At 49.7% G+C, this 12,988-nt stretch overlaps 1 long non-coding RNA gene across 1 annotated transcript in view, besides 4 other annotated features; it reads right to left on the reverse strand.

The window, feature by feature from the left end:
* VSTM2B-DT (VSTM2B divergent transcript) overlaps window positions 1–12,988 on the reverse strand; it is a 238,742-nt gene that overhangs the window by 23,964 nt on the left and 201,790 nt on the right. The window lies entirely within an intron of this gene.
* Window positions 204–705: an enhancer, noted in NCBI's record as "H3K4me1 hESC enhancer chr19:29802083-29802584 (GRCh37/hg19 assembly coordinates)". NCBI's record gives its function as "activates a minimal SCP1, AML or CMV promoter by ChIP-STARR-seq in naive H9 embryonic stem cells {active_cell/tissue: H9 hESC(naive)}" and the evidence as "EXISTENCE:reporter gene assay evidence [ECO:0000049][PMID:30033119]".
* Window positions 706–1,205: an enhancer, noted in NCBI's record as "H3K4me1 hESC enhancer chr19:29802585-29803084 (GRCh37/hg19 assembly coordinates)". NCBI's record gives its function as "activates a minimal SCP1, AML or CMV promoter by ChIP-STARR-seq in naive H9 embryonic stem cells {active_cell/tissue: H9 hESC(naive)}" and the evidence as "EXISTENCE:reporter gene assay evidence [ECO:0000049][PMID:30033119]".
* Window positions 7,368–7,537: an enhancer, noted in NCBI's record as "experimental_50764 CRE fragment used in MPRA reporter constructs". NCBI's record gives its function as "activates a minimal promoter by MPRAs in K562 erythroleukemia cells, with activity observed for both the introgressed and non-introgressed 19:29809332 variant alleles {active_cell/tissue: K562}" and the evidence as "EXISTENCE:reporter gene assay evidence [ECO:0000049][PMID:34662402]".
* Window positions 12,151–12,651: an enhancer, noted in NCBI's record as "H3K4me1 hESC enhancer chr19:29814030-29814530 (GRCh37/hg19 assembly coordinates)". NCBI's record gives its function as "activates a minimal SCP1, AML or CMV promoter by ChIP-STARR-seq in naive H9 embryonic stem cells {active_cell/tissue: H9 hESC(naive)}" and the evidence as "EXISTENCE:reporter gene assay evidence [ECO:0000049][PMID:30033119]".

A 12,988-nucleotide genomic window follows, 5' to 3' on the forward strand; every position in this document is an offset into this window, starting at 1 on the left:
CACACAGCTGCTCAGAAGTGATATTCACATCAATGATGAGGGCCCCCTTCATTGTTCTCACTCCCTCATTCATCCACAGGCCATCTTCGGGGCATCTGTGGCTTGTTTAGTAACTTAGTAACTTACACTAGGAGTTGAGAATGAAGAGTCATGGGGAAAAGTAACAATCAATAAATCTACTTTTTTTCCTACAAATCCTTCCAAATTAAGAGGTATATTCATGCTTCCTGGAGCCAGGAGTGCAATGATTTTCCTCCTCCCTCCCCCAGATGAAGGGCCCCTCCTCAGTGGAGACGTTAGCCTCATTACCAGCCCAGACTCCACTTAAGGGTTTGCAGTTGGCAGGGGTTCACCCCCCTTGACAGCGAGGCATTGTGCTGATTGGGGAATGAAAACAGAATGTCAGAGACCTGCCGTGCTTTCCTTTTTGATCAAGTCTGTGCAGCAGAAATGAGAGAGCATCCGGCATCAGCATCCAGACTCAGCGCGCTCATCCCACCGCCCTGCAGTGCACCTAATGAATCTCATTTACTGGCAAAGACAATGAAGTCGCCCACATGGCACCTGCCGGTCTCATAATGAATGTCCTCCCCCAGCCGTTGGGAGTGAGCCATCTGGGAGCGGGGCGCCATAATTGGGCCAGCACTTGCATGAGAACAGCCTCCAGTGGGGAATGTTGTAAGACACTTGTCCCAGAGATGTCGTAAGAGGGCAGGAAGGAGCTGTTTTCAAGGGAAGTTAATGGTCCTTAGCAGAGGGATGTGAAGGGATCATCTCCCTAAGCAAAGCCCCGGCACAGCTCTGCCTATTGTGAGAGGTACAGCAGCACTGGCTTGGGACAAACTGTCCCCATGGCCTCCTGGGAATAGAGCTGCTTTCCTGGGGAGGCCCACGGCCATGTGGCAGAAGGCAGCAGGTGTCTCCCACCACCATCCACAGAGGCCTGGAATTGCGATGTGAAGTGAGCCATCTCTTTGCAAGGGAATCTTTGGAGGGGCAACATCTTTGCTTGGCTTAGCGTGGATGATGCTGGCCTGGGAGTTGGAAGACCTGATGGGATGCTAGTTCAGCCCTTATCTGGGAGGTGGGCTTGGGTGAGCTCTCCCTCCTCCTAGGGTTTTTCAGGGTGTGCACCCACAGAGAGAAATAAAGCATGGGGCACATCTGTTGTATCTAAAACCAACCTAATGCAATGGCTTACATGAAAGAAAAGGCGAGTGGGATGGGGCGTGGGATCTGTTAGCAAACAACACTAAAATATCCGGGAGTACATTCTGGCATGGCAGTGGTCTAGGGACTCTGATAATGCCATTGGGGTTTCATTTGGCTCTGTGTCTCAGTTCTATGCTCCCCTGTTGGACTTCTTCCCTGGTTGGCTCTTCCTCCCTGGTAGAAGGGATGTGCAGGTTCTGGTCTTACACATGGAAAGGGACACTCTCCTTCACTTGAGCCCAAGGCTTGCCTGGACCCCATGGGAAATATATAACCATCCTCCAATCACTCACTGCATCTAGGGGAACTTGGCATCCCGGTATCTAGGCTGGGTTTAAGGCAAGGAGAGAAACCAGCCCCTCCCAGCTGCCTGGATGGAGAATGAAGGAGGGATGACTCCAGAAGAAAAGTCACCGAAAGGGGGAGTGGGTGTGGAGCAGGGGGAGGTGGGAGGCCTTCTGCTGGGCTTGAAGCAGAAGCTGCTTCAGAGAATGCACAAAGGGGCAGGGTGGAGGCTGAGGGCATTTCAGACCCGCTCCACCACCTTCCATTTGGACATTGGATAGCCTTTTTCCAAAGTCACTTCTGATCTTTCTGCAATCACCCATCACCGAGCTGCCAAGCCACAAGCTTCCTTATGGTAGAACTGATTGGCTGAATGTGCTTATCTCAGCTGAAATGTGTGGAAGGGAACCTTACTCTCCAATCAACTGTATCTCTCTTGGTTCGGCAAACATGGGTACTGTGCCACTACGTTCTAAGCAAGGGGCAGAGGAGACAAAGCTCTGTGGCTTTTAGGAGATGGAGTCACGAAGACATAAAAGAGAGTTTTTTACTTCAGAGGGCCTAGGACTGGGAGAGGGGAGTGGAGAACAGGGATGTTCCTGGAGAGAGGGGGCATGATTTATTCTGGTGAAATTGAGACACGGATGGGAAGCAGACAGGTGAGATGCAACTCTAGCTGGAAAAATGAGGCATTTTGTAAAAGATTGCCAGCTGCAGAGCCTAGACTTGATCCTGTAGGCATAGGGAGTCCTTGAAGGTTGTAGAGTGAGAGAAGGGCTTGATCACAACTCTGCTTTAAGAATGTGAGTTTGACAGTGACTTATAGGATGAAGTTTTGTGTGCTTGTGTGTTTTGTGGAGTGGGGATGGAGGGCACAGGAGAAAGAATTGAGAAGCAAAAAATGCTGTTTGGAAGCTGTTTCAATACCCAGGAGAAATAACGTCTGTTTTAGAGCATTTGGGGCATTAGAGGAGGGGAAGGAAAACAAGCATCTTTAATATGACCTCAGCATTCCAAAAATGCGTTCATATCCATCCTTATCCCTAGGATACAAACGTGCTGGGAGGTAAGCAGAATGAGTAGCAGAAATTCCATTTTACAGATGAAAATTGAAATCAAAAGGGCAAGAGTTACACCCATCAGCAAGGGACAGAACTGAAGCAAAACCAGGGCCACCAACCTCCCACCACCCCCTGAGCCTCTGTGCAGGGGCACCTGAACCCTGATAGATCACTGCTGTTCCCACCTCAGGCAGGTGACGGGAGCCCACCTCGACACTCCTAACAGCTACCAAATAAAGCAATCTGTGCTGCTAATACTAATATAAGGTATTGATTATCTTACTGCAGGAGTCCTGAGATGGTCAGCTCTGGCTGCCGAGGCTGGCGGCAGCAGCTACTAAATTGTGTTTATGGGAAGCTTTTTACCTGAAGGGGTCATAATTCACTCTCGATCAATAACCGATCAATCCACCTGCTTTGCACATTGCAAATCCTCCAGATCCGTCCGCAGAGAGAAAGAGAGAGGAAGACAATCTGTTTATTGGAAAAAGATGGCAGAATTACAGGCTAATGCAGCCACTTAGGCTGGTGATTACATAAGCTTTAATTTTTTTTTTAATTTAAGTGAAGTATTTTGAGTGATATGCTGAGTCCACTGAATTTAAAAAAGAAGGATCTTGGTTGGTCTGAAAGGATCAGATAAGAAGGATCTGGTATTCATTGAGCACCTACGATGTCCCTTGCCCTGTACAGAACTCTCTCATTTATCCTAACAGCCAGCAAAGGAGGTATTATTCCCACTTCCACTGGGAAACCTGGGACTCAGCGATGGGAAATGACTAGCTCAAGGTTAGTGATTGAGCTGAAAATCAAAAACATCGTCTCCCAACAGGGAAATAAGTTAAGTCAAGGGCAGCTGAACTTGAAGAGCCTGAGTCCCATTTCGGGGCTGGGATAAGGTGGAGTTATGGCAGGAACTGCAGAGGGATGGTTGGGAGAGGGAGGGGCCTGGGAGGCTTGCCTGGGCCCCTACTGCCAGCACACATCCCCCCACTATTTGCTGGTGGAGTTGCAGTCCTCAGACGTGCAGGATGCATTAGAGAGCCATCCAGGGCCACCAGATTCCCTCTAGCTGCTGCTCTGCTCTCCAGCCCCCAGTGGCCTCCCAGGGCCCAGAGGAGGAGGCCATTGAGAACCTCAAGCTGCTTCCCCACTCTCTAGGAAACTCCCTGCACAAACCCACCTGACTCAACCCAGCCAGATCCCTCCCCAGCAGCCCTTCCCTGGTCTCTAAGCCTGAGCCCTCTGAAAATGCTTTCTCCCTCCTCCTGCCAATGACCAAGGTCCCCAACTCCAAGCAATTTTCAGAGCGACCCACTTGGGGAGTGTCTGCACTCCAAGTTCCTCCTTCCTCTGAGCTCTAGTCCCTGCTCTCTTGGGTCCCTCCTGGCAGGGTGGAGAGGAGGAGGCTGGGTTGGGGCCACTCGGCTCCAAGGGGGCCTGCATCCTTGTCCCTGCGGCTCCTATATGCAGGCCCAACAAGCTCCTGGAGTCCAGCAGCCATAGATCTAAAGGCACATCAGCCTCTGGTTCATTCTCTTTCAAACTAGTTCAGATGTGGAGTTCTCCCCCGATGTGGCTCTGTCTCCCTTCTTACTGCAGTCACCATGGGCAGAACAGAACTTGAGTCCTCAGAGACACCATGATGAGGTTGAGGACCGAACCTACGATCTTGTAACACGAGGAGTTTCACTCACTATGATGGGGTCTTGCATCTCAGCTAGTGCCCCACTCGGAAGAACAGCATCCTGATAGGCCTTAGGCGGTGCACTGGCACCAGGGCTCAGGGACCTCACCATGGTCAGAATCAGATGAAGGAAAACAGTTTTCCGTTAACAACTCATTCTTCCTGCTTTTTTTGCTGATTTGTTGAAAATTATTTTCCCCCTACCGTTTCACAGCTAATTCATTGTCCCTATTGAGGCCACTACCCTGATTTTGGAGACTGTGACTAGAGGCAACCGTTCAGCCTTCCTGGAAAATGTCTCTGTTTGGGTCTCTCTGTAATAAGGAATTGCACGTGGCATTGATCATCAAGAACTCCCACAGCATTGGCTCAATTAGCAAACAGTTAAATGTGGCAGATTGCATCCAGATAGCCTCCCTCGGAGTGACAGATGTCTGCAGTCAACATAGGGAATAACTCCCAGAGATTGGCTGAGGCCAGGCCCAACCCCTCCCTGGTGGTCAGAGCAAACTCCAGTGGCCTCAGGCCCCACACTTCTGCACAGGGAGGGGCCAGCTGTTCAGTTTCTCCCCTGGAGCCCCTTACCTCCCCAGGGAGAGTCTTGGGGATCAGCAAACCTGGACTATTTGCCCTGAATAGTCCCAGTCCCCTTGGAGGGAACCCTTCTCTGCAGAAGGCAAGGGCTGAGTGTGCCCCCAGATGTCAGCCCAGTGGTCTTTGTCTCGGCTGTGCCTACCTTCCTGTGACAGCTGTAGAGACAGCTGTAAGGTGACACCATCAATGCTTTTCTGGTTAATTAACTAAATACGCATTGCCTAGGGCCTCAGTGTGAGTAAGTTTCAGGATGAAAAGTGCCAATTTTCCTGCATGTATGTGTCCAAACTATTTTCCTTAGCAGTTCTTACTCCCTTTTTCTCATCCGTTAAGTCAAGTAGATGTGTAGCTCAGCTGAAAGGCTCAGAATGACAGGCACATGGAACCACTAATTTAGATAAATGATGCTGTTCCTGCTTCCTGGAGACACACCTCTCAGCACATTCCAGGGCCTGAGGAACTCAGAGGGGGCCAGCGGGAGGGTGTTACGGCTGTTTCTTGTGTAGGAATTAATTAAGTGTTTTTATCGGCTACATATTCCCCCTGAGCCTGTTTTATTCTAGATGATGTTATGATCTTAATGCTTATGTCTCTCCAAAATTCCCACATTGAAGTCTACTCCCCAGTGTGTTGGTATGAAGAGATGGGGCCTTTGGCAGGTGACGAGGGCATGAGGGAAAAGGAGGCCCGTCTGTCCCTCCCACTGCACAAGGACATCTAGATGGTACCAATGGTAGAAATGGGTCCTTGCCAGACACCAGATCTGCCTGTGCCTTGATCTTGGACTTTCCAGCCTCCAGAGCTGTGAGAAATAGGTTCCTGTTCTTTCTGAATCACTCAGTCTAAGGTATTTTGTTATTGCAACCCAAACGCACTAAGACAGATGTTGAGAGGGCCTGTTTTACAGGAAGAGTCCACGTGGCCTAACGGCTTCCTCCAAGAGAAATGTGGTGGTCAACTGCTTGCCCCCACCTCTCCTCTGGGTTCTGAGCCTTGCCTCATGAGGCTGGCCTCCAAGGACTCCATCCCCAGGGCCCTTGTGCTGGCTGGCCTCGACTTCTTCAGAGGTCTAAAGGCTGAAGGCCCCAGTGGTGGCCAAAGGCAGGAAGGCTATGGTCATGAAAGCCACCTGTGTGGATGAGAAGGCATTATGTCCAGGCTCCCATGGCTCAGATGGGGACACCAGGTCCTGAGAAAGAAAAGGAGTCCCAACAGTGGTTGGAAGGAAGATGGCAATGAGGACTAAGATGGCCACACCTCGGAAGGAAGATCATCCTGGCCTCTCTCTCTAGTGCCCCTTCAGCAGCTCCTCCCCAAGGAGTCGTGATGTCCTGGAGAGTCAGCACATTGGAAGGTTTTCTGTTTTAATTTCCCTCCCACTCAAACTATGATTTTCCGCATATCTGGAGCAAGGGAGGCCCAAGCCCGGGTTCTCTTGGGCAGCAGATGTGGGAAATGCTGAGTACAGGAGCTCAGATGTCCTCCTAGGGTCAAAAATTACATACTGGGGAGAACTTGCCCAGCTTGGAAGAAGCAGAAAATATCAGCAAGAACAGAGAGGATAACTTTTTAAGAGTAAAAATTAAGTGTATTTATGTCCTACACATTCCCCAGAGCCTATTTAACATTCAGATACTTAGAAGATCTACCTGGATTTTGTGCAACTCTCCTTTTAGCTTTGCTGTTTTTGTTTTGTTTTGAGACTGACTCTCGCTCTGTTGCCCAGGCTGGAGTGCAGTGGTGAGATCTCAGCTCACTGCAACCTCTGCCCCCAGGTTCAAGTGATTCTCCTGCCTCAGCCTCCCAAGTAGCTGGGATTATGGGTGCCTGCCACCACACTCAGCTAACTTGTGTATTTTTAGTAGAGACGGGGTTTCACCATCTTGGCCAGGCTGGTCTCCAACTCCTAACTTCAGGTGATCTGCCCTCCTCGGCCTCCCAAAGTGCTGGGATTATAGGCGTGAGCCACCATGCCCCACCTAGCTTTGTAATTAAATGTAAAAACAAATAAACAAACAAGCCCCTCCAAGCTGCTGTATAAAAAGCCCTCTTAAAAACCATCCCTTGTAGGGTCTCTCTAAACACAGACACCAGGACACATGCAGGCTCCCAACCTGTAACCAGCAGAGAGGCTTTCAGAGATGAAGATGAATGCTGCAAATCCAGCCACAGGTCATGCAAGGGAATCTGGACTGCACAGGGAAGGGGTACTGTGTTCATGTTGGGGGCTCTCAGGATGTGGCTGCTGGTCAGGAGAGGGCTGACAAACAGTAGTTTGTATTTCATGCATCTGCAGAAAACAGTTAAAGAGAAGGGATACTGGGCCTGGTTCAGCAACCGGTCCAGGCCGGTCAGCCTTGTACAAACTCCAGATCCAGTGCCCTGGAAAGTGACTGTGGGAGGCTCAGCGTGCTTCCAAGATTGGGCTAAGAGATGCCAGCCCTTCCTCAGAAGGCCGAGTGGGATTGCAGCAAGGGTTCTCTTCAGCCAAGGGGAAATAACTCTTGCTTCAAGAATCCAGACAAGCACATCACAAAAGCCCAACTGTGGGCTCAGAGAACCAGGTCTCTGCATCTAACCTGACATGTGACCCTAAGCAAGCAACGGTCCTGCGTAGACCCTTATTTCATCCACCTGTGAGTGCAGAGGAATAACACACAACCCTCACTGCATCTTGAATCCCATCTGCACCCTGGAATCCCAAGCCCTAGCCCACCCTCCCATGAGTGTCTCAACCTGGAATTCCTCATTAGAGCATCTGGCTGCCAGCTCTAAAGGACATCTGTGTAGAGACCTCTGAGTTAGGGAACCCCCCGCCCGATTTTCCCAATGCTTCAGCACCATATCTTCTCTAGGAAATGCCCATCTATAGAAAATGAACGACAGGGGCAGCCCAAACAGGGTCCCTTGCCAGAGTTCCCAGCAGAAATCTGGCTTCCCTCCCTGCCCCCGCAGCTCACCCGAGATGACCCAACAACATGCTCAGCCTTACCCCATGCCACCTCCTGCCACCTTTGCAAGCCCTGGAAGGAAGGCAGGATTGTTCTTGATTTATGTACAAAGAAACTGAAAGATAGAGAAGTTAAATATTTTGCCTCAGGTTCTGCAAAGGGAGAGAAGAAACTGGGAGTCAACCGAGGACCATCAGGCTCCAAGCTACACACACCCAGCTTCCAGTCACCAGGTGTATATATTTTTAGAGACAAAGTCTCACTGTGTTGCTCAGGCTGGAGTGTAGGGGTGCAATCATAGCTCACTGTAACCTCCACCTCCTGGGCTCAAGTGATCCTCCTGTCTTGGCCTCCCAAAGCACTGGAATTACAGGGATGAGCCATTATGCCCACACTGACCACACACCAGGCACGTGAAGATGGAGGGATGGACGAATGTCAGAAGGAGCCCCTGTCTCTAGGGAGCTGACAGCCTAGATGAGCAGACGACATGCAAAACCTTTTAAGAGGCAGGGAGAGCAGCTGGTGGGAGTCCTTGACTTCCCATATGGGCACAAACATTCCAAAGAGGTCCCTGCCATGGTGAAAAGGCATGGCGCCCACCACCAGCAATCCAGCCCCTCGCCCTGCCTTTCAGATGTGCATTGGTCACAGAAGCTTTACTCCCAAGGCTTTCAGAGGACAGAAGGCTAGACTCCAGCATGAGTTGGGCATCATTCCCAAAAGAAAACTGCAGTCAACCTAAGGGGCTTATTTACAGACAACACTCAAAGCCATGACACTTTACTTGAGGCCTGAATTTGCTTCCTCGTGTGAAGAAAGTGACCCCTATTTCAGCCCATGCAAACTCATTTCTTTCTGATGCACTTTGAAGATTTGGCTCTATGGAAAAGTGCTTGGTGAGGGGACAGAGGTGAGGGTGAACAAGGAGATCTCATCTGAACTTGTTCCCCAGGTCCGCATCACAGCGGCTTGATTCTGGCTCCTTGAAATCCTGTCCACACACAACAAGATAAATCAGAGAATGGAATGAAATACAACCCCTGGAAATTTTCAAATAATGAAAACCAAAGGTCGGCAGTAAGAATCTTTTCTACTGGGGTCAAAACTCAGTTCCTCTTCCCCCCTCTTCCTGCCCAATTTCACATAATTAGTCTCTACTACATTGTCTTTGGGGGTTCCAAGGACCGGACATTCCATCATAGACCTCAAATCATGAGCATTTTGCTTCCACGCAAGTTACAGTTTTATTGCCTTGGCTGGTTGTATTGAAAATTAAGCAGTCATTTCAGGGGGCTTTCTAGAAATCAGTTACACCCATGTCTCAATGTTGAGAGAGACCAAAAGAGAAGAAACGGCACAAATGTCTATATGTGATGTCATCAGCACCCCCAGTGTGCCATCCCCATCCCACACACACATACACACACAGCTGTAGACTCACAGTTCTCTTTTTATTGTAAAGATGATTTCCCTGAAGTATTTTTAAGCTGGAAAGATTTTCTACAAGCTGGTGAAAAATCGCTCACTGCAGGAGATCCTATGCATTGGCAGAAATCCAGCAACCCCATGTATTGGTAACTGGCTTGGTAATGAGTCTCTTCCATGTAAATTGGCTCATTATTATCAATTTTTGTCAGCTCTTGAGTGAGTCTTGATCTGCTCCCCCGTCTCGGCCCAGGTGTCAGCATGAGGCGAACAGGAGTGTCCAGATCTGCTTTCCATGCCAGGCACCTAAGACCTCACATCTCAGGGAGGACGGAGAGAGTGAGGATGACAGACTCCATGCCATTAGAGCTTTGAATTTAACGTCCAGAACAGAGAGATGTTAAGGAGACTTGCAATGAGGTGTTATAAAAACCAAGTTTGACTGAAAGAGCTGGCAGGCGATGCAGATGAACACTTTGTCCTGTGATTCATTGCTATCAGGAGAACTAAATTTGTACAGCCCAGAGGAGAGATGACTAATGGGAGGCATAATAATTGTCGATTTATACCTGCGAAGAATTAATCAAGAGGCCCAGAGGAGAGAGTGTTCGGCGGCCACTCCAGGTGCAAGTGCTGGGGGTGGGCAGAGCCAGGAGGAGCCAGAGAAATTAGGCTAAATAGCAGGAATGACTGTAATAACACTGAGGTCCATTAGGCAGAGACATTGCATGGCCTCCACCATGGGATGCTACGGGATTGCCATCAGACAGACCTGCACAAGGCAACTTGGGGAATAGATCTCTGCAATGATCGGTGGATTTGACAATGCGTCTGGAAGATTTTAGGGTGAGATTTCCTCATCCCGGGGCCACTTCTCAGGGAACTGAAAAGCTGCCTTTGTTTTGTAGACAAAACTTCCTTCACTATTTCAATTAAATGTGTCTTAGAGCACGAACTGCAGAAAAATCCCTGTCCAGTGCAATGTGGGAGGCAGAGGGAGTTTGTCATCCTTAGAGTCCATGAATACCTACTAAACACCTACTGTGTGCCAGGTGGTGCAGGGGCAGCCTCCTAGCTGTGGGGAGCTTGTGTCCCAACCCAGGGAGGCAAAGACAGCAGGAGAGGCAGGCAGGCCCCCAGGAGAGTGATGCTAGCTCAGCCAGGCTGCAGATGATGCCCAAAGAGAACCAGGTCAACAGCCAACACCTCTATGCAGGTTTTTTCACAGATTGGGCCCTTCACAAGTCAGTCTCTTTTCCTATAAAGGACAGGCAATTACCCAAATGTGATTGGAGAATTTTGAAGGCTTAAGAGACCTCTCCCTCCTTCCCAGGCCTCCTCATGCTCTCAGCTTGATCACCCCGCACTGTTGGCTCATAAGCAAGTAGGCTGAAGCATGCAGCAATGTTGGGAATGTTTTGTTTTGTTTTGTAGAGATGGGGTCTTGCTCTGTCACCCAGGCTGGAGTGCAGTGGCACTACTATGGCTCACTGCAGCCTCCGGGGTTCAAGAGGTCTTCCCACCTCAGCCTCCCTAGTAGCTGGGACTACAGGCATGCACCACCATGCCCAGGTATTTATTTTTATTTTTTGTAGAGATGGCATCTCACTATGTTGCCCAGGCTGGCCCTGTACTCCTGGGCTCAAGCGCTCCACCTGCCTTGGCTTCTCGAAGCACTGGGATTACAGGTGTGAGCCATGGCATCCAGCCTTAGTAAAGTTTTAAATTAGGATTGCCAATGTTTAAAAAATGGGAGCTGCCATACAAATTCGGGTTTCTAACATGTTTGGCAAACTGAACTGATGATGCCAGAACTGCGTCCTCCACGGGCAGCATCAGCCATGGCCGGGAACGTGCTGCACTTTAAGCTCTTTCATTTGCTGCAGTCCCCATTGCTCCTGTTTGTGTTACAGCTGGCCTGTCTCATTCTCTCATTTTCCTGGCTCAGCTTCTGTGGGAATTTCAGTTTGTTGCCACCCTGAGCTAAATGACCAGAAATGCAAGGTGGCTGGCCTGTATTAACTTTAGAGTCTTGCAGAAAGGCTCCTAATCAGTTATAAAATTCAGTGCTTGAATTTGATGAACATCCTCAGCAGTCACTTGGAAAACATTTCTGTGTTTTGCAAAACTGCAAGCAAATACACAATTACCCTGTATTCTTTCCTCTAGAGCCCACGCTCTGAATCCTTCCTTCTGCTCACTGGTAGCATGAAGCTTATAACTTTAGACAAGCTCGTTTGCTCCCTTTTATTTGCAAAGGAAATGTATAACCTCACTGAGCTTTTTTTTTTTTTTTTTTTTTGCCTTGGCTGCCAGGAGCCTCGTCTAGCAATGCTGAGTTGCGGTTCATGGTTCAGCTCAAGAGTTTGTTGCATTAATCCCTCACCTTCCCCGAACTGATTTTTCTTTTTTTTTCTTTCTTTTTTTTTTTTTTTTTTTTGAGACACAGTCTCACTGTGTCACCCAGGCTGGAGTTCAGTGGTGCTATCTCAGCTCACTGCAACCTTTGCCTCCCAGGTTCAAGCAATTCTTATGCCTCAGCCTCCCGAGTAGCTGGGATTACAGGCATCCACCACCACACCCAGCTAATTTTTGTATTTTTACAAGAAACAGGGTTTCACCATGTCAGCCCAGCTGGTCTCGAACTCCTGACCTCAAGTGATCTGCCCGCCTTCGCCTCCCAAAATGTTGGGATTACAGGCAAGAGCCACCACGCCCTACTCCCTAATTGATTTTTTTACCTGTATTTCTAACCAGTGAGTTTTACATGTTTTCTTTGTAATATTACAAGCTGCACTTGATGCTTTTTGAAAGAAACAAAAGGAACACCTGGAACAGCAATAAACTGCAGGAATGTCCCAGAAGAAAACTGGGATGGACCCTGCCCTGGAGCTGGGAGGCAATTAGAGGGCGGGCTGAGGCAGAATGATGATGCATGCAGCAATGTTGGCGGCTGCTCCCAGCCACAGCTGACACTGTCAGTGGAGGATGCAGTTCTGACATAGTTAGTTCAGTTTGCCTGGGTGACAGAGCAAGACCCCATCTCTAAAAAGCAAAACAAAACAAAAAACCCCGACATTAGTGAGCTGGAAATGTGCAGCGAGGCAGCTTGGAAGCAAAGCTCGGGATCGTGTGGAGAAACGTGTGTCCGATATTATTCCTCCGATGCACCAGCACCATGATTCCTACCACAGGCCTGCATGGTGGGGGTGCTGGAGTATGCAGGGAGGAGTCAGACAGGCCTCCAGCCTCCAGGGGTCCAGTAGAAGAAAAATAGCAGCTTATAGCTGCTGCTGGAATGCACCATGCATCCCTTGGCCCCCAGATTTCAGCCCAGCTGCAGCAGATGGGACCCTGTGTTTGCCAGGGTCCTGCCTCAAGCATGGACCGAGGCTTCCTCAATGCCACAAAACACTGCTCAGCCACACGCAGGCTCCCCCAGGATGTTTGGGGGAATCCACACCAGGGCAGCCTCAGTCACTGGGAAATAGAGCCTCGCCCTCCTGGGCCTCCGGTGGGAAGCTCCGGTGGGGAGCACATTCTTCACGGCTCCACAGGAGGTCCTAGAAGGCTAAGGCCAGGGTGCCCACAGTGGCCACCTGCCGAGTAGCACACCCTTCATGGCTGCTCTCCCTCTCCTTCTCCCCGCCCCCATGTCCCCATTCCTGCCTCCTGGGATTGCCCCCGACATAGATGACCTGCAACCAGGTTCTTACTCCAGGATCTGCTTGTCGAGGTACTCAAAGACAGTGCCAGAGGAGTGTAACTGA

Source organism: Homo sapiens, chromosome 19 (genome assembly GCF_000001405.40).
Source record: "Homo sapiens chromosome 19, GRCh38.p14 Primary Assembly".
Taxonomy (NCBI): Eukaryota; Metazoa; Chordata; class Mammalia; order Primates; family Hominidae; genus Homo; species Homo sapiens.